This window comes from Homo sapiens, chromosome 12 (assembly GCF_000001405.40).
Source record: "Homo sapiens chromosome 12, GRCh38.p14 Primary Assembly".
NCBI lineage: Eukaryota > Metazoa > Chordata > Mammalia > Primates > Hominidae > Homo > Homo sapiens.
Window position 1 is genome coordinate 71594249 of NC_000012.12, and position 26404 is coordinate 71620652.

The 26404-nt window shown below is 37.1% G+C and overlaps 1 protein-coding gene across 2 annotated transcripts in view, besides 1 other annotated feature; it reads right to left on the reverse strand.

Annotated features, from left to right (window-relative positions):
* Positions 7147-7347: a silencer, noted in NCBI's record as "peak1820 fragment used in MPRA reporter construct". NCBI's record gives its function as "represses an SCP1 promoter by STARR-seq MPRAs in K562 erythroleukemia cells {active_cell/tissue: K562}" and the evidence as "EXISTENCE:reporter gene assay evidence [ECO:0000049][PMID:32103011]".
* The window catches only part of ZFC3H1 (zinc finger C3H1-type containing), a 54250-nt gene continuing 43196 nt past the window's right edge, over positions 15351-26404 (reverse strand). For both annotated transcript variants that reach the window (NM_144982.5, XM_047428485.1), the window contains exons 25-35: positions 25962-26067; positions 25678-25876; positions 25067-25161; positions 20958-21068; positions 20586-20690; positions 20287-20452; positions 19087-19187; positions 17538-17639; positions 16810-16849; positions 16447-16509; positions 15351-16317 (exon numbers count right to left, since the gene is read on the reverse strand). In NM_144982.5, the coding sequence (NP_659419.3) occupies positions 16180-16317; positions 16447-16509; positions 16810-16849; positions 17538-17639; positions 19087-19187; positions 20287-20452; positions 20586-20690; positions 20958-21068; positions 25067-25161; positions 25678-25876; positions 25962-26067 (1226 nt within the window). In that variant the 3' untranslated portion in view covers positions 15351-16179. The remainder of the gene's footprint in view (positions 16318-16446; positions 16510-16809; positions 16850-17537; positions 17640-19086; positions 19188-20286; positions 20453-20585; positions 20691-20957; positions 21069-25066; positions 25162-25677; positions 25877-25961; positions 26068-26404) is intronic.

Consider the following 26404-nt stretch of genomic DNA (forward strand, 5'->3'; position numbering starts at 1 on the left):
CAGACCTCCCCACACGGAAGTGTGCTTCTATAAAATAACAGCACGGGAGAACAGAGCCAAATGTAACCATGTTGGGGACAGTAACAGAAGGAAGAAAAAATAGAGTTCTAAATTCTAATAAGATATGTCACGTATCCTCCCTATGGAAAAATCAGTAAGAGGCTGGCATGCTGCCAGGGGTGTTACTCTAATAGAGCTCCCTCCTATGGAAGGAAACATCAGGGAGTGAGTGTGATTTCTCCCCTAGACTTCATTACGTTTTGTTCTTTCAGTGTAATCTATGAGGCTCACCCTGTGGGACTGTGATAAGCCAGAAGTGTGGCTGTCCTCTCAGAGGAGGATCTCAAGTGCAGACAGAACAGTTTTATTCCACCTTCACAAAGCTGTTTCCCAGCTTCTGGAGTTATCTTCCTGGGACCAGGAGGAGCGGGAGATTTGGTCTCTAGAAGGCTCTGTGATGTCATGTTACCAAAATACCCTGTTTTTTTCTCAGCTTTCAAATATCTTAGACTTGCTTAAGATCAGGGTAGTCTATATGAAAACATACACTCATCTGTGGACACAGCCTCTATAAACCTCAATAATCTATCAAGACAAAAATACCACATAGCTGAAGATTCAAACCTCATACTGGATTTGAAAGGTTCTGACAAATAGCATCCTTTCCCTTGGCCTGAGTTCTAAACAGTGAGAAACAAGAAAAAATAATAAGGCAGATATGTATCAATCTGCCACATTTCTTAATCATAAACTTAATATTTAGAATGTGCCTTAAATATCTCAGCAATGAGCTCTCCAGAGCTAGTCATATTCTTTTCCCAGTCACAGGCAGCATTGGATGGCCACAGCCTCCCCACAGGGAGGCAAGACGCCCTATAATCCTGGAGCTGCAGAACTCACGATCCAAGTGGACAGCCTCGTTCCAAATTTTAAAAAAAGAGGAAGGGGCTAACCCAAGCAGGCCAGATTCCTTTCCCAAATGCTCCAATAAAATCTATTATTCCTGCTCCCCTAGGAGAAGACGGTGAATGAATATACCAAAAGGCAGGGATAGTGACATTAATGGAGCTCCCTCTACAGAGAAGGAAGTATCAAGAATGAGGCATATAAACTGGGCGTGGTGTCTCATGCTGTAATCCCAGCATTTTGGGAGGCTGAGGCAGGAGGAATGCTTAAGCCCAGGAGATCAAGACCAGCCTGGGCAACATGAGTCCCACATCTCTACCAAAAATCAGTAAAAATTAGCTGGGCATGGTGGTACACGCCTATAGTTCTAGCTACTCAGGAGGCTGAGGTAGGAGGATAGCTTGAGCCCAGGAAGTTGAGGGTGCAGTAAGCCACGATCACACCATTGCACTCCAGCCTGGTGACAGAGCAAGACTGTCTCAAAAACAAACAAACAAACAAAAAAATGAAGAATACCTTTTTACTGCTAATAACTATTATTTTATTATTAAGTATATTTTAAGTGGATGCTTGTCTGGAAAAGCCAGCCTGTCATAATAGTTATTATAAGGACTTGATCCATGTCAGGTGGTATGTTGGGTGCTTTATGCAAAATATGTCACTTAATTAGGATACAAGCCTATGAGATGTGTCTTGTTATCACTGCCATTTTGTAGATTAAGCAATAGCACAAAGATTTGTTAACTTGCCTAAGATCATTCACGTAGTAAATAGGGGAGACAGGTCTCAGAGACATTTCTTTTAACAGCTACACTAGTGATTTTCAAACTTGTTAGAAATGCACACTTGTTAGAAATGACAGGCATCACTCCCGTCTTACTGCATCAGAAATTCTGGGAGTGGAGTCCAGCAATCTGTGTTTTCATATGGCCTCCAGGTGATTCTGATGCAGGCTAAAGTTTAAGAACCATTTTACTGACTACAGGAGTAGACCTTAAGAGAGAATTGAGCTATCATTCCTAGGGCAAGGGAGAATAGGAAATTAAAAGTGGTTATCCTGAGTCCAGGGTAAAGGGTTGTAGTGGTAAAGGGTTGTAGTGAAATTTTATTTCATATTTTTAAAAAATGAGTAAAAATGTTGGCTAAAGCATTGACTAGGAGAAATATTTATAGAATTGGGTAAATATCTTTTTGTATTTTTTTTTACATTTGTCTATACAAAATTTATGTAGCACACATTTAGAAAAATGTAACTATTCAGTAAACATTCATTGAGTGGGTACCTTCAGGGGTAATATAATACAGTGACTGAGCATTCAGATGCTGAATCCAATTAGCCTGGTGCCATGGTCTGAATATCCTCCAAAGTTTATGTTTTGGAAATTTAATCCCCAATGCAAATGTTGAGAGTTGAGTTTTTTTTTCTTTTATGAGATGATGGATTTATTTATTATCTGGATTGCAGTGATGGTAATGTACACCAACTCGCCTAATTGTATATGTTGATTATGTGCAGTTTTCTGCATACCAATTATAACTCAATAAATCTGGCAAAGAGATAATTATTTAAAGCAAAAATATTAAGAATGTATTTTGAGGTTTGGAACAGATGTAAAAGTAAAATATTTGAGAATAATAGTGCAAATGATGGCAAAGAAAAAATGCAAATAAGCTGCTATAGGGTTATTTTTTTGTTTTTTTGTTTGTTTTTAATTTTATTATTATTATACTTTAGGTTTTAGGGTACATGTGCACAACATGCAGGTTTGTTACATATGTATACTTGTGCCATGCTTGTGTGCTGCACCCATTAACTCATCGTTTAGCATTAGGTATATCTCCTAATGCTATCCCTCCTCCCTCCCCCCATGGGGTTCTTATAATATAGGTGTTGTAGTGTATTATTTAAAGATAGACTGTGATAAGGCTTTTTTGTTAATTAGCCTGATTTGGTCATTCTACATTGTCAACATATAACAAAACATTACATTGTGCTTTATAAATATATACATTTAAAAAAATGTCAACTTTCTTTTTGGATTTAGGGGGGAACATGTGCAGGTTTGTTACCTGTGTTATACTGTGTGATGCTGAGGTTTGGGGAACAATTGATCCCATCACCCAGGTACTGAGGAGAATAACCAATAGTTAGTTTTTTAACCCTTGTCCCCCTCCTGAGAGGTGGGATTTTTAAGCGGTGATTAAATCATGAGGGCTCTTCCCTCTTGAAGAGATAAATGCTGTTTATCAAGGGAGTGAATTCCTAATAAAAGGATGACTTTGGCCCCCTTCTGGGCTCTCTCTCACACTCTTGTGCTTTCTTGCCCTTCTGCCTTCTGCCACGGGATGACAGAGAAAGAAAGTCCTTACTAGATGTGGCCCCTCAATCTTGAACTTCTCAGCCTCAAGAACCATAAGCCCAATAAACTTGCATTGTTTATAAATTACCCAGCCTGTGGTGTTCTGTTATAGCAACATAAAATGAACCAATACACCTGGGTTCCAATCCCAACTCCAACTTTCAAAAGTTGTGTGATCCTGGCAAGTTTCTTTAGTTCCCTTTCTTCAGAGTGCTCATCAGTAAAATGGAGTTGATAAAATCATATTATACTGTATCTGTCAGCAAAGTTCACTTTCCAATTGCTATTGGCTGCATGTTTGTGTCCCTCCAAAATGCATGTGTTATATCCTTATCCCTGAGGTCATGGAATTAGGAGGTGGGGCCTTTAGGGACATGATTAGGTCATGAGGGCATAACCCTCATCAATGGGATTAGTGCTCTTTTAAAAGAGACCCCAGATAGACAGCCCTTCCACCATATAAGAACACAGATAGAAGGTACCATCTATGAAGAGTGGGCCCTTAGCAGACACCAAATCTGCCAGCTTGGACTTCCCAACCTCCAGAACTGTGAGAAATAAATGTTGTTTATAAGTCACCTAGTTTATGGTATTTTTGGTATAGCATCTGGAATGAACTAAGACACAAATTAACTATAAAAATAAAAAAAGTAATATAGGTCATGGAGCTATATTAATTATAGGAAAGGTTTTATTTTCATTGGAGGAATATGCTGTTCCTGTATACCTGATACTTATCTAACTTCTCAAATTTTACATCTCCATTTCATAGTAAGAAAATGATCTTGCTTGATGTTCTGGTTAAAACTTGCTAACAACTGAGAGGTTTATTGGAAGCAACAACAAGGAGGTGACCCACAAAAAAGAAAAAGAAAAACTTGTACTTTTTACCCAAGACTTTTGTCCTAAGAAGAGCAGAATTGGCCCTCTGGGGTACAGAGGGCCTTTGATCTAAAGTGGACCAAATGTAATTTCTTCAGATTAACATAATTTTATTTGCCAACATAACTTTATTTCCCAATGGCAAAATAAGAATTCCTGATATGTCGTTTTGTTACAATTAGATAAAGATTGTTTAGCTGATTTTACACTCTACAATCTCTGGAATATTCAGAGATTTTTCTCTGAATACGTTTGTAATAGAAGGAAAATTTAAATATTTTTAATGTATGACTGGAGCTATCTATCCCAGCCAAATTTCAGTGGAGATTGACGACTCTTCTATACAATTTATTTTTCTAATTTTAAGAGTTTATGGACCATACGATGTACAGTGTGTTGGGCTGGATATGTGCATGGTTAAATATGGAGAATTGCAGAGAGTAAAGCTGCACACAGCTGATTAAGAAGCATCAGGATAAAGAGAAATGGATGCAAGCCTATTGATAAAAGGAGTTATCCCAGCATTTGGTTATACACATCATTCATTGCTTCTTTGGCTCTAGACAAAAAAAAAAATGAGTTTTGACATGGGAAAGTCAGTATGCCTAGTAGATATGGCCTGTTTCAAAGAGTTAGTTTGACCACTCTCCAGCAAAACATCTTTCCCCAATTTTGATACAATTATGAATTAAAGAACTGATAAGACTACTCTTCATTAATTTTTTTGAAATGTAAAGGCAGTCGCAACTGAATAAGTATTCTTTGCTTTCATACTCCCCTATTTCCCCCATCCAAGCAAGATTAAAATCCATTTCTGATTGGATCAGTAGCCCTAGAAGTAATGTGAATATGGGTGTGAGATCTGCAAGTCACTCATTGTTTCACTCCCTCCTCTCCATAGAGACTGAAGAGGCTCCCAGCTGTATAAGCTGCACCTGGAGCTATTGAAGAGTCTGGTTGCACAAAGCAAAGTGCTTTTCCCATCACTGTAGTAGCCAGGCTCCAAGACAACCTACCAGTGATCTTCACTCACTGGTATTCACACCATTGTATAATCCCCTCCCATATTATATTAGGTAGGTTTGGTCTGTGTGACTAATAGCATATGGCAGAAGTGACAGTATGTTGATATGGTTAGGTTTTGTGTCCCCACCCAAATCTCATCTTGAATCATAATCCCCATAATTCCATGTCAAGGAGAAGATCAGGTAGAGGTAATTGAATCATGGGGGCCATTTCCTCCATGCTGTTCTCGTGGGAGTGAGTTTTCACAAGATCTAATGTTTTTATAAGGGGCTCTTCCTCCTTTGCTCAGCACTTCTCCTTCCTGTCGCCTTGTGAAGAAGGTGCCTTGCTTCCCCTTCTCCATCTGCCATGATTGTAAGTTTCCTGAGGCTTCCCCAACCATGCTGAACTGTGAGTCAATTAAACCTCTTTCCTTTATACATCACCCTGTCTCAGACAGGTCTTTATAGCAGTGTGAAAATGGATTAATACATATGTCATTTCCAGGATTAGGTTATCAGACCAAAACTTCTGTTTTTTTCTCTCTCTCTCTTAGCCCACTAAGTCTGAGGGAAGCTAGTTGTCCTGCCATGAAACCACTCAAGCAGCCTAGGGAGACATTTATACGGTGACATCTATATGGTGACAAACTGAGGCCTGAAAACAACTGTATGAGCAAGCTTGGAAATAGATCCTTCAGCCCCAGTGGAGCCTCAGATGACTGACTGAAGCCCCAGCCTATAGCTTGATTCAACTTCATAAGTGACCCTTAGCCAAATCACGCAGCTAAGCACCAACACTGTGATATGTGTTTGTTACTTTAGGTTGGTAAGTTTTGGGATAGTTATGCAGCAATAGATAACTAATACAATCTTCCTGTGAGTAAGCAAGGAGTTATAGTTCACTTAAATTTCAAGAGCACTTCAATATTTAAAACTTGGGAAGCCAGAAGTATTCCTTAGCATCAGTTTTGGAGTAAAGAGCATTGGTAAGGATGAAATTTAGTGGTTAGTTTTGTGTTTCTGAAACCTGGCAGGCACACACCGCATAATGGAACAGTAAGCCTAAAGAAAACTATGTAACTTGTTGCTACTGTATCACAGACATTAAGACAGATGTCCCAGTGATTTGGGACCACATTTCTTTATTCTTTTGTATTTTAAACAATGGAAATCCATGCATTTCTCTCTGGCCTGGAGCAGTGCTTCTCAAATTTTAATGTGCATGAGATCACCTTGGGATCTTATTAAAATGCAGATTCTGATTCAGTGGGTCTGGGTAGGGCCTGAGACTCTGCATTTCTAACAAGCTTCCAGATGACCCTGATGCTGTAGATCCAGAACCACACTGAGCGGCAAAGGCTTAGATCACTATAATCTTTTTAGCACATTCCCTACACCAGGGAAGCTCCAACTGAAAAAGCCGTATTTTCTTTTCATCTCTCTGCAAGTGCCATCCCATCCATCAATACTAGTTTCCAAACCTTTATTGTAACTTTCTTTTGCCAAATAAAGGTTCAAACTCAATTATTCCACTTTTTGTCTCTACTTGTTCTTCTTCCTCTAGTGAAGTTTTAACAAGCAATGAGACCCCACCACTAATAAGTCGTTTTTTTCCTTTTTTTTATTTTTTGACAGAGTCTTGCTCTGTCACTCAGGCTGGACTGTAGTGTCACAATCTCGGCTCACTTCAATTTCCGCCTCCTGGGTTCAAGCAATTCTCCCACCTCACCCTCCTGAGTAGGTGGGACTACAGGCGCAAGCTGCCATGCCCGGCTAATTTTTGTATTTTTAGTAGAGACAAGTTATGCAGCAATAGATAACTAATACGATCTTCCTGTGAGTAAGCAAGGAGTTACAGTTCACCATGTTGGTCAGGCTGGTCTCGAACTCCTGATCTCAAGTGATCTGCCCACCTCAGCCTCCCAAAGTGCTGAGATTTACAGGCATGAGTCACTGCACCTGTCCATCCTTTTCTTATTATTATGAAACACTACCCTAACCCACATTTCCAAGCTTTCTATCCTCAAATAGCTTCTACTATCTCACATCTCTTATGGCTAAGCCCTTTACTAGTATGCTCTTATTTTATCCTGACAACTCCAAGTGAAATAAGCACTAGTAGTAATCCCATCTTAAAAATGAAGAAATGTTGACTTAAGAGTTAAGTGAACTTTCTGCTGATTATACAGCCAAGTTTTCTATCCAAGGAAAATCCAAAAAGAATTTAAGCACTATGGCTATATTTATTTCCCTCCTGAAACTTCTCAGCCCTACCCCCTACCTATCTAAACATGCAATTCTCTTGCTTTCATACCTCTCAACTTAGATCACAATTCATACAATTGTAAGAACTCATACCATCTTTTGTCCTCATTGTCCAATGACTTAATCAGTGATGTTACATTCTGCAGGCATACACCCACAAATGTGTAAATTTAGTGTTTTCAGAGGACAAGAACCTATACTGAGTCTCAGAAGCTCAATTTTTAGTTTTTAAATTTTTCTTAGAGACAAAGTCTCATGTTACCCAGGCTAGAGTTTGGTGGCTATTTACAGATGTGATCATGGCACACTGCCTCCTTGAACTGGGCTCAAGTGATCCTCCCACCTTAGCCTCCCGAGTAGCTGGGACTACAGGTGTGAGATGCTGTGCAGAGCCAGGTCAGTTTTTCAAATGGGCAGAAGAGGTAGTCAGTAAGAATGAAAAAGTTTGAATGCCTGAAGAATTCATGGTTATCTGATTTCAGACACAACGAATCCTGCTATTACCAAGAATATGTCTTTCCTCACCTCTTGGCTCTGCTTTCCTCTTGGGCCTCACTTCCAGTGGGCTCTTAACAGTGCTGTGTCAAGGCAACTACCCCACTGTTCCAGGCTTACATTCCCCTAACTTAGTGTAGCTGTGTAACAAAAAGAAAGCGCCTCTTTCTCAATAATTCCCTCAAAGTTCTCAGGATTGCTTCTCAGTGGACCAATTTTACTCTAGGGGATTTTTAGGTTGCAAATTAAGGGCATGCACTTGGAAGTCAACTTCCTGGGTTTGTCATTTACTATCTTTGTGACCCGGCTAAGTTAATTTCTCATGACTCAGTTTACATTTGTAAAATGAAGATTACAGCAATATCTCATAGGGTTGTTGTGAAAATTTAAATAAATATTCCTTGAGCACTTACAATGGTGTGACAGACTAACATCTCAACAAAGTGTTAGTTGTTATTAAATGACCATTTATTAAGTTTCCAGACCAGCTAGGTCTGGGAAATGTGCTTTCAGCTTCCCTATTCCAAACTCAAGATTATAGAGTAGAATTAGAGAACTAGAAGAGATTTTAGAGGTTCACTATTTAAAACTTTTTTAGACCTCTAAACAAGCTAGGTTGAAGCCACTAACTTCACTTTATAGTCTGTTTACTCCACTTGATGGTAGTGTGGCAGATATTTAGTTGTTCCTCAGATACGTATTCCCTTTCATACTTGAATTTATGTAGTCCACATAGCTACTCGAAATAAAGACTACATTTCCCAGCCTCCCTGCAGTGGCCATGTGTCTATGTTCTGAACAATCGGACAAAAGCAAATGTGGCATGTTCAGCTTCTGAGTCCTCCTAAGAAGCGAGGCGGGTCATGCTTCCCTTCATTTTTCCTTCCTGCTAAATACAATGTGAACAAAAAAGCTTGGGTGTGGAGCAGCCATCTAGAATCATCAGGACCACCAGCCCACGTGGTGCTGTTGTGCAATTTAGAAAAACACCAACCCTCCCCATAGAACTTGGATTCTTAATGGTCCCTTTGTGTGAATTTTAAAAAGGCCACCCTTCCTCCATGCCGACTCAACGAGTGCCTTCGGGTGCTTGATGAGTTGATCATGGGATTAATTTCATCCCCTGCTATTTCAGTCTTTTGGCCATGTATCCTTGTACAGGACATGACTTAACACAACCATAGGTAGCACCCCTTTTGGGAAAGGAGGTCACACAGGACAAACAGATAGGTGTCTAGGTCTCTGTTACAGCGGAGTATCATACAGTCAGCCCTGGTCCACCCTACTTAAACTTTTAAGCCACTGCTATTTTCATCTGTCAATCCTAATATAGAAAGGGTCATTCACACTGAATTGCAAGCCTTGGATTTTACAACTGGCTATTTTGACTCACATCCTTTCCTCCCCACCCCCAAATTAGATATTACTTTTATTTAGAACAGCATTAATCACCAAGTGAACACTACCAATGGACCCCTTGTTCTGCATTCTGTGATTTTTCACCACTGGGCCACAGCTTCAGCCAAATTTGGTCTAACTGTGATAAAATTGTGGTTTAAAAAATCCAGCAATTCTTTTCTCTTAAAAGTATGTTCCTGGAGGATTATCTTATATGCAAACTCTATGCAAGTCCTCTTGCCTGGTTAGGTCATTTTATGACTGCTGCCTACAAAATAAGTAAACTTAATTGGTCAATATTCTCATGTCCTGTTATAGGCAACTCCAAAAAAGTGTGGAAAGTGGCTTGGATTATCAAGATACTCTCTACACTTAAATTCTGAGTACTGAACTAAGGGGTAGTTTTTATCCTCTATTTCACCACAAAGGGAATCCAGCCAACATGCTGAGAATCCTCAGAACTGAAAACAGAAGCAGACTAAATTTTGATTCCTTTTGACTTTAAAACCTAAAGACCATGTTTTTAAAGAGATGAGGTCTCTCCATATTGCCCAGGATGGTCTCAAACTCTTAAACTTGAGATCCTCCTAACTTGGCCTCCCAAAGTCCTAGGATTATAGGCATGAGCCACCACGCCTGTCTCAAGACCATCTCTTAACTGATATTTTTATCTGTTATTTTGGTAATGCCAGGAATGAGCCACTGAATTTAGACAGCAACTTTTTTTTTTTTTTTTTAATAATGACATGGTCTCGCTATGTTGCCCAGGCTGCTCTCAAGCAATCCTCCTGTCTTGGCCTCCCAAAGTGCAGGTATTACAGGCCTGAGCCACGGTACCTGGCCTAGACTACAATTTTCTGTTGTCTCTCTTACAAACAGCAACTAATTCATGCTTGAGCATTGGTAGAGTTATATGCTCTTCATCAAGTGACAGCAATGAAATTCTGTCCAGGGCTGGGCATAGTGCCTCACATCTGTAATCCCAATACTTTGGGAGGCCTACGCAGGTAGACTGCTTGAGGTCAGGAGTTCAAGACCAGCCTAGCCAATATAGTGAAACCCTGTCTCTACAAAAAAAAAAAAAAAAGCCAAGCACGATACTGTGTGCCTGTGATCCCAGCTACTCATGAGGCTGAGGTGGGAGGATCACTTGAGCCCAGGAGGTCGGGGCTGCAGTGAGCAATGACTGCACCATTGCACTCCAACCTGGGTAAGAGACCCTGTCTCAAAACAAAAAAACAAAAACAAAAAAAAAGAAAAGAAATTAGGTCCAGAGGAAGCAAACTATTATTTTGTAGCATCTCTGCTTTCAAAATTTTGGAACACGATTCCAAACTCAAAATACTTTTTTTTTTTTTTAAGGGTAATTCCTATTATTTGATCTCAACACCCCTGAGGTAAGTACACATATTTCCCCATTTTGATGCAGAAAAAGAGACGGGGGCAGTGAAATGGCCTGTCACAATTACATAGCTAGTTTATGGTAGAGCTGAATCTAATACCCAGATCTTTTAAATACACGCTTTTTCATCACTCACATTGGTTCACACTTCTCAATTTCCTGAAACTATTTCTTTGTAGCTCCATTTCAACCAGTATGAAATGCCAAATCTATCTCCTGGCAATCTCATAAATTTCACTGTATGATGTGCCAAGTTAAGTGTTTGTTTTGGCCTTGGCAGCAGATGCCCTGATTATGTCCACTAATGCAAACAGCTCACCAGTCTATCACTCTTCCTAATTGATTCAGCTCCTTTACACCGTTGGCTATCATTCTCTTTCATATGGCTTACTTTCGCTAGGTAAGAACTTTTCCAAGATTTAAGCTGCTTGATCAACCAAACATTATAAACCTACCTTTGATTTCAGCAGACTTGATAATCAGTCTTGAGGCTTTCAGATTCCCAAAAGGCAAATGTATATACTTTTTAAGAAAGGCTATGCAAATAGTTTTCATGTTTTATTTAAAATTTTACTTAATTCATAGAAGATGGCCCTTGAAAAGTCATATTTGTTTATAGATTGGATAGTCTTCAAAATTTATTAGTCTTGCATAAAATCGTCATGTTATTCTATGGTAATTGAAATACAATTAACTCACATATTCTTAACATTCTATTCACTGTTTTGTATTGTTTTGTTCTTAAACTGGAGGGAAAATTCAGATCCATGACAGCACCCACCACTTAAGAGTCATATTGGCTTCAGATATTCTGGAACCTCTGTATTCTTGATCAAACTAGGAAGCACACATTCCTCTAAGCTTAAAACTTTTTTGTTATTGTTGTTACTCAACAGAGTCATTTTATTCCTGGCTTTAATTAGCTTTACATTGGTTGCAAACATCTCTGGTATTGGGTCAAATAGAAAAATCACTTTAAAGCAGTGAAGACACTTTGGGCCATCTTTGTTTTTGAGACGGAGTCTCGCTCTGTCACCCAGGCTGGAGTGCAGTGGCACTATCTCAGCTCACTGCAAGGTCCCCCTCCCGGGTTCACGCCATTCTCCTGCCTCAGCCTCCTGAGCAGCTGGGACTAGAGGCGCCCACCACCACGCCCAGCTAATTTTTTGTATTTTTAGTAGAGATGGGGTTTCACCGTGTTAGCCAGGATGGTCTCGATCTCCTGACCTCATGATCCACCCGCCTCGGCCTCCCAAAGTGCTGGGATTACAGGTGTGAGCCACAGCCCCTGGCCCACTTTGGGCCATCTTTGGGTAGTTCTGTGTAAACAGAAAAATAACCATGACTCTTAAAATATAATGGATCAACACCATAGGAAAGGTTAAAAAAAATTAATGGAAAACCATGTAGACTGGAATTGAAATAGTGCTCTGCAAGTTGTAGATAATAAATGTTGAAAGTAACATTTTATTCATGCATTACCCAAGAAGTTAGAGAGAGAGAGGGAAAAAAGGAAAAGCTAGTAGCAGCAGCTGCAATTACAATCAGACTTTGGATATCAAGGCATTTAAACTGGGTCTTCTAATAGGATTACTCCTAGTCAGTCATGCTCATGTGGATTTTGAAGCACAGGGTGCCCCCAAAGGCACTCTCTTCTGAACAGTTAGGCTGCTCTGTAGTTTTACACATCTGTTACCATGTTTAATGAATTTTCAGTTGTGAATGAATTTGGAAAGTTAAAGCTTTTCAGAACGTTTTTTAAAAATGCACAGGATTCCAAATGTACAGATAGAAGTGACACAATTTTTGAAAATATTATTGAGCTCAACTTTTCCTCCATTTTATCCCTTAGCCCAATGATTCACTTCCATTCAGGGAGCCTTTCCCAACTTCTAACTCAAGTTAGGATAGATACCCTTTGAAGATGCTTCCTTGGCATACGTTCCTTTTCTGTTAGAATGTAAAAGGGGATCCCTTTACTCTTCTCTGTATTGAGATTGCCTAGCACAGAGCTCAAATGGATTCTGAAATGAAAAAATGCCTGATTCTCTTCATGAGGCCTCTGAAAAACATGTTGTGGGGTCCCTCTTGTGAAGGTCACCAAATGAGAAGTGGAGACAAACTCCATATCCATTTTACCATTTGTGGAAGACAGGGGCAAGTTTCCATTATCTACCTCAAAGATATCAGAAAAAATTGAAAAATCTTTTCACATTTATCATAATCTAAATCAAGTAGTACTGAAAAAGTAGTGAGGAAGGTTATGTGAATGATGGTGGAAGATGGGAATGAGGACAGGATGGAACAGCACGTAGAAAGATGGAACACCTGTAGAAAGAGAGCATTCTGATGGCATATGGAATAAACCCCTCTATCCCCCAAAAAGATGAAAGAAAGAAAAAGCTCTTTTTCAGCTTGACTCTAACACCTGCATTAAGAAGCATCACAGCTTGGAAAGACACAGTCCTAATTTTGAACAAAAAAGAAACAATATCAGAAATGTTAATCAGAACTTGCCTTTTCTTGACCAGCTCTTGTTCAAAATGTTCTGTATAATAATTACTGTTAATATGCACTGAAGGGCAATGATACACCTGCAGGCATAATCCTCAAACCTGAAAGGTCATTAAAATTGTATTTCCCCATTCTTCCCTCACATTAATGTTAACATAGACATGAAAGCAGACTTGAGGAAATTACGACTTATCTGTGAACACATGACAGCTTTAACCAAGAATATTGGCCCTGCTTTGTATTCTAGCCACATGTTCCTACTTTTTCAACAACCTTGAAAAATAAATATTTGAACTACAATCTTCAATAAAGTCCCTCTACATTTGTTGTCAGTCTTAATCACTTTTTTCTTGTCTGCTTAGTGCCTTTAGCTCTTAGATGTTGCACCTGGAGATTCTTGCTTACTTTATGATGTAGGTTTATACACCCTTTAATTGAAAGCAAACCGCCTTAGATAATAGAGTGAAAAACAATGTTACAAGGTCCACTTTCCGTTAAAAGGCAAATAGAAATATTAGGCTGTTCTCTAAAATGAACAAAAACACATAAAAATACATCATAATCTACCACTCCATTTCCTTTATCAGAGATAAAATCCCACAGCCTAAAAAGGCCTCTTTTGTGTGCATGTTTTGTCCCCCAGCAGGGGTGGCGAATACAAGGGACTGCAGTTCTCAATGACTAGTCTTTTCTCTGTCCAAAAGAAAGACTTTAGTCACACAGTATGTGAAATCTTTTTATATTCATGTTTCTACAATAACCATAAAAACTTTAACCCAAATTTGTTTAATACTTTAATTATCATGTACTGAAAGTACTTCATTAAAAAAAAAAAAGTAAAACTGACAATGGAAGGATGACAGGAACATATACCTCACCCTTAAGCAGTGTGTGTGATTTTTTTTTACATGAAGGTTAAAGTTGAGTTTATAAACTGACAGGAAAAGATATCAGAATTTATCTTTAAGGCAATATCATTTGTATAAGGTACCTTTAAATAGCAATATGACAATGGATCAAAGAGGAAACAGGGCCTATTCCTACATGACTGTGCGGAACATGTGAATGGCCATCCCTAGAGTTGTTAGTGTACAGCCTCCATGGACGGACCCTGTGACTGCATGCACTGAGTGGAGTTCTACATACACCAATGCAAAGAACTCATTAAAAAAAAGACAGAGACAAAATAGTTACTGCTGATGGAAATATTAATGCAACAAAAGTTCAGGCTTAGCATTGTCTCCTAAAAACTTCTGAGACATTTCAGTTAACATAAAAACTGTTACACTATGTATGGAGGCACACACTGGAAATATTTTACTAAGTACCCAACAACTGTTTTCAAAAAATCAGAGGAGGAAAAGCTTTCAAAGTTATATAAAGTTAAATGCATACAGTGAGTAGATATCTATTCCTCTGGGATTACTATCTTCCACCCACATTTTTTTTGGTTTTAGGGAAAAACCAGTAAGCCTCCAGCTTTCTTTTTGATTAAATGAAAGACACTAGACAAATGGATTCCATTCTTGGCCCCATCAAACAGCACTTACTAGCCAAATCGCCCTGTCTGGTAGGTACAGAATAGGGACTCAAAATATGGTTCTATTTCTAGTGAGCATTATACAAATGTAAACATGTACAAGTTTCCTAGTATTTCATGGGGTTGCTGCTCTGCCTCTAACAGTTCAAGCACATGTAGTTCTAAGATCAGATTTGTGCCAGTGTGCGTTGTGTCATTAACATTTTTCCTGCCAAGGTTAAAACAACCAAATATAAACTGAAAACAAAATAAAAAGCAAGGTCTCCTTTGCATTCAATCACACTGATATTCAACATAAGATGGCATGTCACTAGGCAAATCATTCAAACTACGGTTGGGAGGCACTTTCTAAACACTGAGAATTTGAGAACAAGGAATTTAATGGTAGTGCAAACCTCTCTGTTCACTGTCCTCACAACAGTATCCATCTTCTCATGAATTAAAAAGTCATTAATTTTTTTTTTTTTAATGGGAAAGCAGTTTCAAGATAAAAAAGTATTGCTATAAGTTATGGTGAATATCCGTATCTCCGACTTCAACCCTTTCCCACCAGTGTGAAAAGTGAATAAAGACAGCAAGAGTTTTTAGAAAGTTAACTTATATTAAAAAAGTATATAAACAATTTCAATACTACAAAGTAGTATTTCAATACAAAGCAGTTCAAATATTAACTGTTCTTTAAACTGTTAAACTTTATTATAAATTAAAATTTCTTTACAAAAAAATTGCACATAATATTTGACCACTCTTAGGTTCTGATGCACTGGCATTTGCAATAGTTTCTTTAATCTTCAAGTTAAACAGTCTCGGCAAGGAGTCCAGAACGTAGAAAGGGTAATAAACAACCCTGATAGAGCATTCAAGTGCAACTAGCAGACTTGTGGCCATGGCAGTTACACTTTCCTTAAGATGGACTGCTATAGTTTTAAATCCTGAAATGAAGAATCTCAAAAAAATTTAAAAAGGAAAAACTAAAAGGGACTGCCTGCTTTTTTTACTGTAAACACAGCCCTGGATATTAAATCCCAAACAGGAATCTCTCAGGCATCAGAGAGTGTCAAGTGAGTCAGGAATAACACAAAATAAAGGAATGGGGGAGAAAATAAAAAAAAACAAAGCAAAATTAAAATAAATGTCAGTCACTTTGAGGAACTATACTTACGTATATGATGTTATGAGAATCTGGCAGGGCCTAGAAGCAGGCCAAACAGGAAGTTCATTTATCCAACCGAAGAGGATCATGTTCATTGCTTCCGGTTTTGAGGACAGGATATTGTAGGGAACTTGATATGATCAATAACGCTTGTCTGCCTTACACAGACCTTAGCCAGGGATCAGCCTAATCTTGAAGAATCATTCAAATAATTTTGGCAATTATTATAAGGACTTAGAACTGACTGCACCCAGTGTTCAGTGATTCTTGCTTTCTGTTTTGTTACTGTTTAAATTTAAGAGCTCATTTAGGCTGACTCCAATCTCTTGGCACTTGGAAACTAGTTTTCTCAGGTTATCAGTTTTACCTCCTTCTGATGCTTCAAACAAGAGTTGCTGTAAAAGACAGGGAAGCATAGAAGTAAGACTTAGCTAGAGTTTGAGCATTACCACATCAATGGATATGGCACATGCAGAAAATTTACAGGAAAACATCGAGATAAAATAAAAGATAAAAAGCATTACATCTTTCCACAGTGATGCACAAAGAGGTAACTTCTGTAAGGCTCTCTGATATAAACGGTGGACCTGTAAGATAGATATACACACAATTCCATCAGAAAATATAATGAAAAACACCTTCATAATTCCATCTGTTTAAAGAATGGTAATTCACAATAACATCTGAGACAAAATGGTTATGCTGAGTTTTGGAGTTTCCGAATATTTGGTACTCTTAAAATGTTAACTACTTTTGTTTCCCCACTTGGTTCTTAGTGTGCATGAAATGTTAACTTCTGTGCTTTAATTCTTTTAAATTGAGAAGTCAACAAAAGAGACAGAAAAACTTTTTAAAAGTGACCCATCTGAGATTCAACCATGGCTTACCTCTCTTTGTCCCTTTAGAACAATCTCAGCAGCAATGGCTCTAAGAGAAAAAAAAAAAAAAAGAAATATAGAAAAAGGAAAAGAAAAATTTATATATCTTTGAACAAAATGAAACACCACCACTGGCAGAATACTGACTGTGGGAATCTGAGTACAAAACTTCCTGAAAGTTAACAGGCTAAACTTCCAAGGAGGAAAACCTATAGTGAAAAGAAAAATTCAACAATTTTTATCAACTTTACAAGAAAAAAGCAGACCAGTGTTTTGAACATAAATAACGTTCACAGGAGAAAAAAAAAACAACAACAACAACAAAAAAAAAACACCTCATAATTACTAGTCAAAAATACCTAGCACTAACACCTTTAAAAGAAAGAAGAAATCAGACTACAACAGGTGACACACCACCATTTCAAGAGGTGGTCTTAAAATGTCTGTAGCAGATTTGTTTGATAACAGTACTGTCACCTAAATGTTGTCCTTCAAAGAAAATTAAAAGTCTACGCTTTTTGCTTTTAGAGGCTATTCAATGAGTACTCACTCTCATTAAACCTCAGTAAATGCTAAAAACAAATCTAAATTAAGAATAGCAATCTGTCCAGGAAAAAAAAAAAAAAAAATATATATATATATATATATATAGATGTCATTTCAGATTTACCTGTCTGGAGCAAACCTTATAAATAAAAGCAATAGCTATAAAAACATGTACATGATTGTTGCATTACATTTTCCAGGTGGCCAGGCATGTTGGGATATTATATGTAAACATCTTGGCTTGAAGTTTCAGAATCTGAACATTGCTTTCTTCCCATTCATGTTGAAGTAACCTGTAAAGTACATTCAGGAAAATGAACAAAGCATTGCAAGTGTAACGAACCCCAAATGTGCTCTATGAGCACAATGACGAAGTATAAATTTTGATTAGTTAAATTCCATCAAGACTACCCAGCAAATATTTTAGAATGCCTCTTACAAAAATTACCCTGGGACAGGAATGTGCAAACTACGAAGAGGTCAAGTCAAGATCTATGCTCATCTTACCAAACTACACTAAGGTCCATGTATTTCTATAGGACATGAAAGCATTCCCGCCAAATAACAGTCCCTGTTTCCCACCCCAATTTTTTTTTAAAGTAATGGCTTGATAGTAATGCAATTTCCTGGTATTTTTCTTTCTTAGAGTATGATCAGTCTTGAATGTTTCTTGAACTAAAATGCATGTATAGTAACTATTAAAGTTCTTTATTCTCCTGGAAAAAAAGAACAGGGATGACCAGAGGAAATAAGTATCAAAACACAGATGTAGGGATTTACCAACAAAATAAACAAGTAAACTACCTATATTCTAAAATGCCTATCACAATAGAAAATCATGTCAAAATATGACATTTTCTATTTCACGTTTTATCAAAGGTGTTTCATAATTAACATTTCTGTAATGAGCTTCTACAGATTGGCAGGCTTGCTAAGAAAACTGTAAAATACTACCATTATGTTTGTCTCAACTTTAGTTTTTAAACTTTTATACGATTTTCCCCACATACATGCTAAATGAAATGTAAATCCTTTAAAACATAAGGGAACATTTCATAAATATTTTAGGCATCTTATGATCCATAAAACATTAAGATACAACTGATGCAGTGGGAATGACTGCAAACGTGGAAGCCAGTGCATTAGCATGCAGGGTACCTTTTTGAATTAAAAAGCATAATTCTTGCGGATGAAAGTGGATTTGCTGTATCAGAGCAGAGAAACTACAAAGAAAGGCTGAGAAATCTCGTTCTGATCGAATATATGAAATCCCTAATCAGTGCTTCAAAAATGTAGTGTGAGGGCTCAAGGTCAGGAATCTACATTTTAAATGAGCATCCCAGGAGATTCTAATGTTTGCCAATATTTGAGAGCAACTGACCTAGGTGAAAATATGAAAACATCTTAAATAATATTCCCTTGCCGTGGAAAACAAGCTTACTGCTTATAATGCACATGCTAAGGACAGATGGTGTGTGTTTAGGGAACACAGATGAACTTTACTTGAATGGAATTATTTGCCCCTTTGTAACCTGAAGTTTTCTGAAGCGACCAGAATTTTTACACTGACTTTTGAATGAATAGCTAAATATTGGCTTAACAACTCTGAAATTAAGCAGTATATATTCATGAGGACATAGTGGAACAACAGACTATTTTTATCAAGTTTTCAAGAATAATCTTATATAAAGAGCCTATTCCATTAGGCAGAGGACCAAAAGAATGTTAAGTTTTTCTTACCTCAATGCAAGTCCAGAATTAGCTGGCATAACTGAACAAAACCGTTCCAAGGTTTTGGAATGCTGGGTCTTTGGAACACAGCTCAAATAAAAGAAAATAACCTGTAAAGGTTGAGGGGGGCGAAAAATGAATGCAACCAAAATGTGAAATCCAATTACCTATGTGTTTTAACACGAAAACCAAAATGGTCTTTAAGATATGAATGTATAAATTATAATAATGTATGATGTTGTGAGTTACAGTTCCTACCATTAATTTTATTAGTGACTTTCCAAATATGAATTAGGAAATATGGTCTAGTGATGAGAGCCATGGGCAGAACACTGACAAGAAGCCAGGAGTCTGGGTTTTCATTCCTGAGTCTACCTTTACTTGCTGTATAGCTCGGCAAGTCATAGGGCTAATAATACCTGCCACATCTTGCTCATGGAATGCCCGTGTGTAAATGACTTAATGTCCATAAAGTGGTTTGAGATCCTGGGATAAAGAATGGCATAGAAGTACAAAGCATAATAATTGGTTATCCTGATTAGCAACAAAACCACCCCACCAAAAATAAATAAATAAAACATATATATGTTTTAGTCTACAATGAGCTTTAGCAAGGAGCTTTTTAGCCTATAATGCACTGAATAAAAGTGGTGTCTGAAAAAAAATTTTTTTAAAAGATAATCACAAAACTATATCATTAATTAGATTCTACTTTTAGAATTATAAGCAGCACCTAATTTTAAACTTTCTTATGCCTTGTGTATAGCTATATTTGCTTGACAAAATATTAACAAAGAGAGCAGCTACAATGTATAAGTCCATTCTTATTTATTTTGAAGTTACTAAATTTTTCATTCAGTAGAATTTTCAACTACTCAAGCAAAACATTACAGGTATTACAATAGAATCTTTCATTTGACGTGTTTTTTCATTAATATGTATTACATCTTAATATCCCTTCATTTTGCTTCAAATGTTAAATTTTCATAACCATAACATAATAATTAATGCACATTTTAATTGTGCCTTAAAGGGCTCTATTGCTAGACTCTGAATAGATAAATAAGAAACATAGTCAAGAATAATAGTGAATGTTAAGAAAGTAGTCCTAGGAAAAGCTCTCTTGATATAAAACAGGAGTTTTGCTATCATTTTTAAAGTCTCTTTGTTTTACACAAATATCTAAAGAAAAAAGTTTTGAGTTCTTACCCTATTATGAAATTCATAGTTGGACCAGTAATCAGCACTGCTAAAAGGAATGGGGTATCGGGCAGGGACTGTAACCAAACATCTATTCACTAAATCAGTAAAAAATTTGAATTCTTGAACTTTGTTTCTGGATCCAGCAGCTCTATTATTTGCAAAGACAAGATAACTGCCAAAAGAAAAATATTATAATTTAGAATAACTAAGACAGTAGTTCTCTCACCAAGAAAGCTGGTCACCCCTTTCCCGATCATACCCCTTTATCCCCAAATCTCATTCTTATCAAGAAAACCTAAACTTACTCCATCCATATCTTCTGTACTATATCACATCTCATAGCCACCCCTAATGCTGCCTCATATGCCTCCACTGTTTCTTTAATACTTGATTGAAGAGGATGACAAAGGCTGTTTAAAAAATGAAGGAAAACATATGTCTATCATTCATTTCCATCAGGTGAAGGAATGACAAAGTATTTTAAACATTACAGATGTTATTACAATAGAATCCTTCTTTTGACCTTTCTTCTCTAGTATATACTAAACCTTAGCATCTCTTCAATTGTGCTTCAATGACTTTAACATCAAGTTAATTATAACAAACACAGTGTAATTCAGTAATAAATAGCAAATGCAGGCCTAGTATGCAATATCTCTCCACAGTGGATGTCTCACCAGTAAATCAGCCACAAATAAGGAACTTGGTGGTTAAACATATCATCATCAAAATTCCCTTTACATAAACGAGATGGAATGTCAATTGGTCCTGGAATATTTAAGAGATACCTGAAAAAAAAAATCCAAATATTGTTTTAAATTACACCTACCCACACAGGAATTACACACATATTTTTTAAAATCGTTAGTTTCACTTAAATTTCATTGAAATATTTTTTTAGAAAGCAATGAGACTTTCTTTTCATAGGTATACCATACCTCTTTGGTCACATCTCTAGGATTACACATTACTCAAAATGCTTTTTTTTGTTTGTTTGTTTGTTTTTGAGACAGAGTCTCGCTCTGTCACCCAGGCTGGAGTGCAGTGGCATGATCTCAGCTCATTGCAACCTCCACCTCCCAGGTTCAAGTGATTCTCATGTCTCAGCTTCCTGAGTAGCTGGGACTTACAGGCATGCATCACCACACCCAGCTAATTTTTGTATTTGTAATAGAGATGGTGTTTCACCATGTTGGCCAGGTTGGTCTTGAACTCCTGGACTCAAGTAATTCTCCTGCCTCAACCTCCCAAAGTGCTGGGATTACAGGCATGAGCTGCTGCGCCTGGCCACAGTTTTATTATTTTATACCTATATGAAAAACTCTCCTCCTAAAATGAATTTTTTATTCTATCCCCAAGATTAAACAAAACACCATAATCCTCTAAATAAACCTAGTTTAAAAAGAACAAATGAGTCTACCAAGTATCTGAAATTTTCCAATGAAATCTGTACTTTCTTGTTAAAAAAAAGATTTACAAGGCCTGGGGCTGTGGCTCACACCTGTAATCCCAGCACTTTGGGAGGCTGAGGCGGGTGGTTCACTTAAGGTCAGGAGTTCAAGATCAGCCTGGCTAACAACTTGGGTGAAACCCCAAGATCTCTACAAAAAAATACAAAAATTAGTCAGGTGTGGTGATGCACACCTACAGTCCCAGCTACTCCCGGGCTGAGGTGGGAGAATAGCTTGAACTCAGGAGGCAGAGGTTACAGTGAGCTGAGATCACACCATTGTGCTCCAGCCCATGTTATAAAGTGAGACCCTTTCTTAAAAAAAAAGATTTACTAAACCTTATATCTGAAAGTAATCTCTCTCACATACAGCCATACACACATACAACCCATTTAAGTTTAATTTTAGACATGATATCAAAGTGTATTCTATAACACATTAGCCTGTAAGGTACCTGTCAAAAGATCTATGATCAAATAAGGTTGGGAAATACTACAAATTATAGCCCCATCTTGAAAAGCCACAATACTTACTAGGATTATAGGTCAATCCCAGTGACTCTAAGAAGTCAATCAGTATAGAATTCTACTTGACTAAGTCCATCTTCCTTCCAATGTATTTTAATTTGTGTGTATGATACTTACCACCATCTTTAAGAACAATGTTTTTAAAGGAAATACATTGATCGCAAAAATGACAATCTAGTATAACTATTTATCTTAAATTTTTAAATAATTGCAAGGGAACAAGTCTTAATGAATTAGACGGGCTGTATGGGGGGCAAACACAAGAAAGAGAAGAAATAGAACATCTAGAAGTTAGGTTATCATCCTGACTTTGCCAAGACAAGCTACATCACCATGAGTTAATCCCTTAACTTCCTCACTGAAAACTGAGATGGTCAGAAGAGATGACTTCAAATCTAATCTACTTAAGACTATAATCCCTAGTTTAACTTTACTAAAGTAAATGAAATCCCCAAATTAATTTTTCTGGCTATCTACTTAATCTTCAAATTGACTTGAAACACATGAAAATTACCCTATCTAGTTCTTTCTGCCTGCCATCTTTATACTAAATGTCACATAGAGAGTTGACAGAATTCAACTCCAGGTAAAAATTATAGTGCTAAGCATTTTGCTTAACAATTTCTACTCATGAAATTTTAAAAGTATTTTGAACCAATTAAGAGCAGATTTCTCCTATTAATAAACATTGACAACTTATGAATTTAAAAAACTTATATCAATATACAATAAGTATGGCAATGCCAAAAATGGTCTCATCTATCGTCATTCTCCTAATATCTGATGAAAAAGACTCTCTAACAGAAATGCACAATCTTTGTGTAACCAAGAGTTTCACTATTGTCTAAATAAGCTATAAACAGGATACCTTTTTCTCTTAATTCTCAGTGAATTATGACTATTTCCACAAAGGAATTTAATAAAGATGACTTAGTAATGAGAATATATTTGGAGACAACTCATTTTCAAATTTTTATTGATGCTTATTTATTCTGCCAATTAAGCTGGCATCAAGAAGATCTGAAGATCTTTCATTAGTTACCAAGGCAGAAATTGGTAGCATTTTCTTTTAAACTAAACCAATTATCTCTGTGCCCAAGACCAGAACCAGCAAGTCTCTAAAGAGTTTGGTTCAGCCTTGAATTAGCCCTTTGCCTGAGCTTGAGATGTTAAAGCAAACTAATTTAAACGAGGAAGAAACTGAGTATGGAGAAGCTGAAAAATCTCTAAATCCCTTATGGAAGTTTAATTATTTTCTATTAATTTGCATTTAAAATTATTTCATTTGTAATTATTTGTAAATATTAATCTGGATGTAACAGAGCAGAAAGAAGGGCCCTTTGGGAAGGGCACTAAAATCGCTATGGCAATAAACTGGCTACCATAAGAGGACATATATAAAGACTCAAGTCTGGGAGGGAATAGTGTCCCCAAATCTTAAATAAAACTGCCATGTTCACAACAAGTTCTAGGGTGGACCGGGCGCAGTGGCTCACACCTGTAATCCTAGCACTTTGGGAGGCCAAGGCAGGCGGATTGCCTGAGCTCAGGAGTTCGAGACCATCCTGGGTAACACGGTGAAACCTGTCATTACTAAAATATAAAAAAATTAGCCGGGCGTGGGGGTGTGCGCCTGTAATCCCAGCTACTCAGGAGGCTGAGGCAGGAGAATTGCTTGAACCTGGGAGACGGAGGTTGCAATGAGGTGAGATCGCACCACTGCACCCCAGCCTGGGAGACAGAGCAAGATTCCGTTCTCTTAAAATAAAATTAAAAAAAAAAAACAAAAACAAAAAACAAGTTCTAGGTTGAATAGATCACTTACTTAACAAAATTTGGGCTTTAAGATTCTATTTTCGCTCATCTGTATTTTCTACAAGAAATTTTTTGGGGAGATATTCAGCTTAGGTCTTTCTTCTCTTGTTCTTCCTAATACAAAATAATAGAGTATGTTGTGATAAAATATTTTCCTTTTGATGCTGTTTTACTTATGATCGGCAAACCATGCCTATTTTTGTAAACAGTTATACTGGAACACAGTCATAACCATTCACTTGCATTTCATCTATGGCTGGTTTCTCAATAAAGCAACATAGTAGAGTAGTGGTAATAGACTACATGGCCTGCTAACCTAAAATATTTACTTTCTGGCTCTTAAGAAAAAAGTTTGCTAACCCCATAAAGAGATGAGGAGGACAAAGGAAAGATAATTTTAAGAGCCTCCCCCCAAAAAATCATTATTCAAAATCTGCCATGACCTCTTACTGTTGGAATAGGAACTCTCAGGAAAGACAGCAAGCACAGCTCTATATGAGCTATTAAGAAATTAATGGTTGAGAAAAGAATCCTCTGAAACGTCTTACTCTATAACATTTCAGAGGCTAGAGCAGTTCTCTTCAGAATTAAAAAAAGAAAAAGGCGTATTATTTATAGTCACTTTGATGACCTATCAAATAAATGAAAATACATTTTGTAAAAAATCACTGAGATTGCCTTGGGATAATTAAGTGCTATAATATTAAGTACTAAAATTAACAACAATAACGATAAAGTAAAAGAATGAGTTACTATGGTGTTAGTATATGCCTTACTTTGTACAGTGTGTTTAATCCACAGAATGTTAAAGAATTTTCCATCTTGCCTCCATTTTTATTGTTCTATTTATTCTGTTTCAAGTATTCTGTTAAGTGGGTATTCAAGTACTAAAAAGTCAGTCTAAAATGTCATCATATAAGAAAAAAACTGTAATCTTTCTACTGAACTGTGCTCTCTCTCATTCCTCTACAAACTAAGAATTCTACAACTTACCGAAACAGATCCAAGTTATTATACTTCTCAAACCCCGGTTTAAAGAAGGATGCAATAAATTTCCGCAAAAATGGAAGAAGATTATCGCCTCGATTCTATTTTAAAAAGAGGGAGGGGGATATATATCAGGCTTACAATGTTTAATTAAAATGTCACGAGGGAGAAAAAAAGCCTTAAAAAAGTACTCATTAGATTAAGTTTCTTGAGTGGGTAAGGGGCGGAGGGGATAAGTTTGAGACATACTCAGAAAACTTTTATATTTTACTCTCTGAATTAAGTTCAACTAATGATTAAACAGCTTAACTTCTAGTATTACCACAGGCTCATATTTCATCCACCAATTATGTATTAGCCATCTAGCACCATGGTAGGCGTTGGGCTGCAAATATGAGTAAACATGTTCCTTGCCTTCAAGAAGTTTAGTATAGTATATATTAAAGCAGCTAGGAATAAAATTACAAAGCACTGTACTAAGTGCTATGGCAAAGAGAGAAGGAACACCTAACACTGCTTGCAAAGGGTAAAAGGACCAGGAAACACTTCCTGGTGAGGCCAATAGCAAAATTTGAAACATAAAAGCATCATATTTAAGAATTATGCATCATTTTTACCTGTAAGATGAAGAATTTGCACATATGATAAAAAACCTCTGCATTCTGAGGATTTTTTTCAAATGCAGTAAGCCACACTGCTCTGGCTTTGTCATGCTGATTTGTTTGCAAATATAATGCAACAAGAGCTTCCAGCAACTGGCAGTTAATAGGACATGATTCCAATAAAGATTTACAAAGCTCCATTGCAGCCTCATACCTTAACAAAAAAGAAAAAAAAAGGCTAAAGACATGAAAAGATCACTTTTTAATATAAGGTTAGCTGCTTGGCAATTAAGTTGTACCTCTCCAGGAGTTGGTGCAGAGCAATCATGTTTGTGTAAAGTGGAAGGCAGGCCTCTATTCTTTCCTCAACAGCAAGGCTCTCATCTGTGCAAGCTTTCACTGCATCTACCCAAAAACATCACAACAACATGAATCACGTCAATCATAAAAATGAAATATTTGACTGTGTTACTTCAACTCTGAGAGACCAATGGGAAAAGATGACCCCTCCCTTTGATTACCCATCCATCATCTTATTCACCTTTACTGAGCTGGCTTTTACTCAAAGGAAGTAATTCAAGTAATCTCCAAAATCCTAAAATTCAATTCCTTACCCTCAACTTTCCTGGTAAGAATAAAGCCATCCCATATGAGCTTTTGCATCTATCAGTGTTTTCATTTAAACAAGTATCTCTGCAATTATCCTAAATTCTTTAAAATCCATCTCAACAAAAAAAAAATT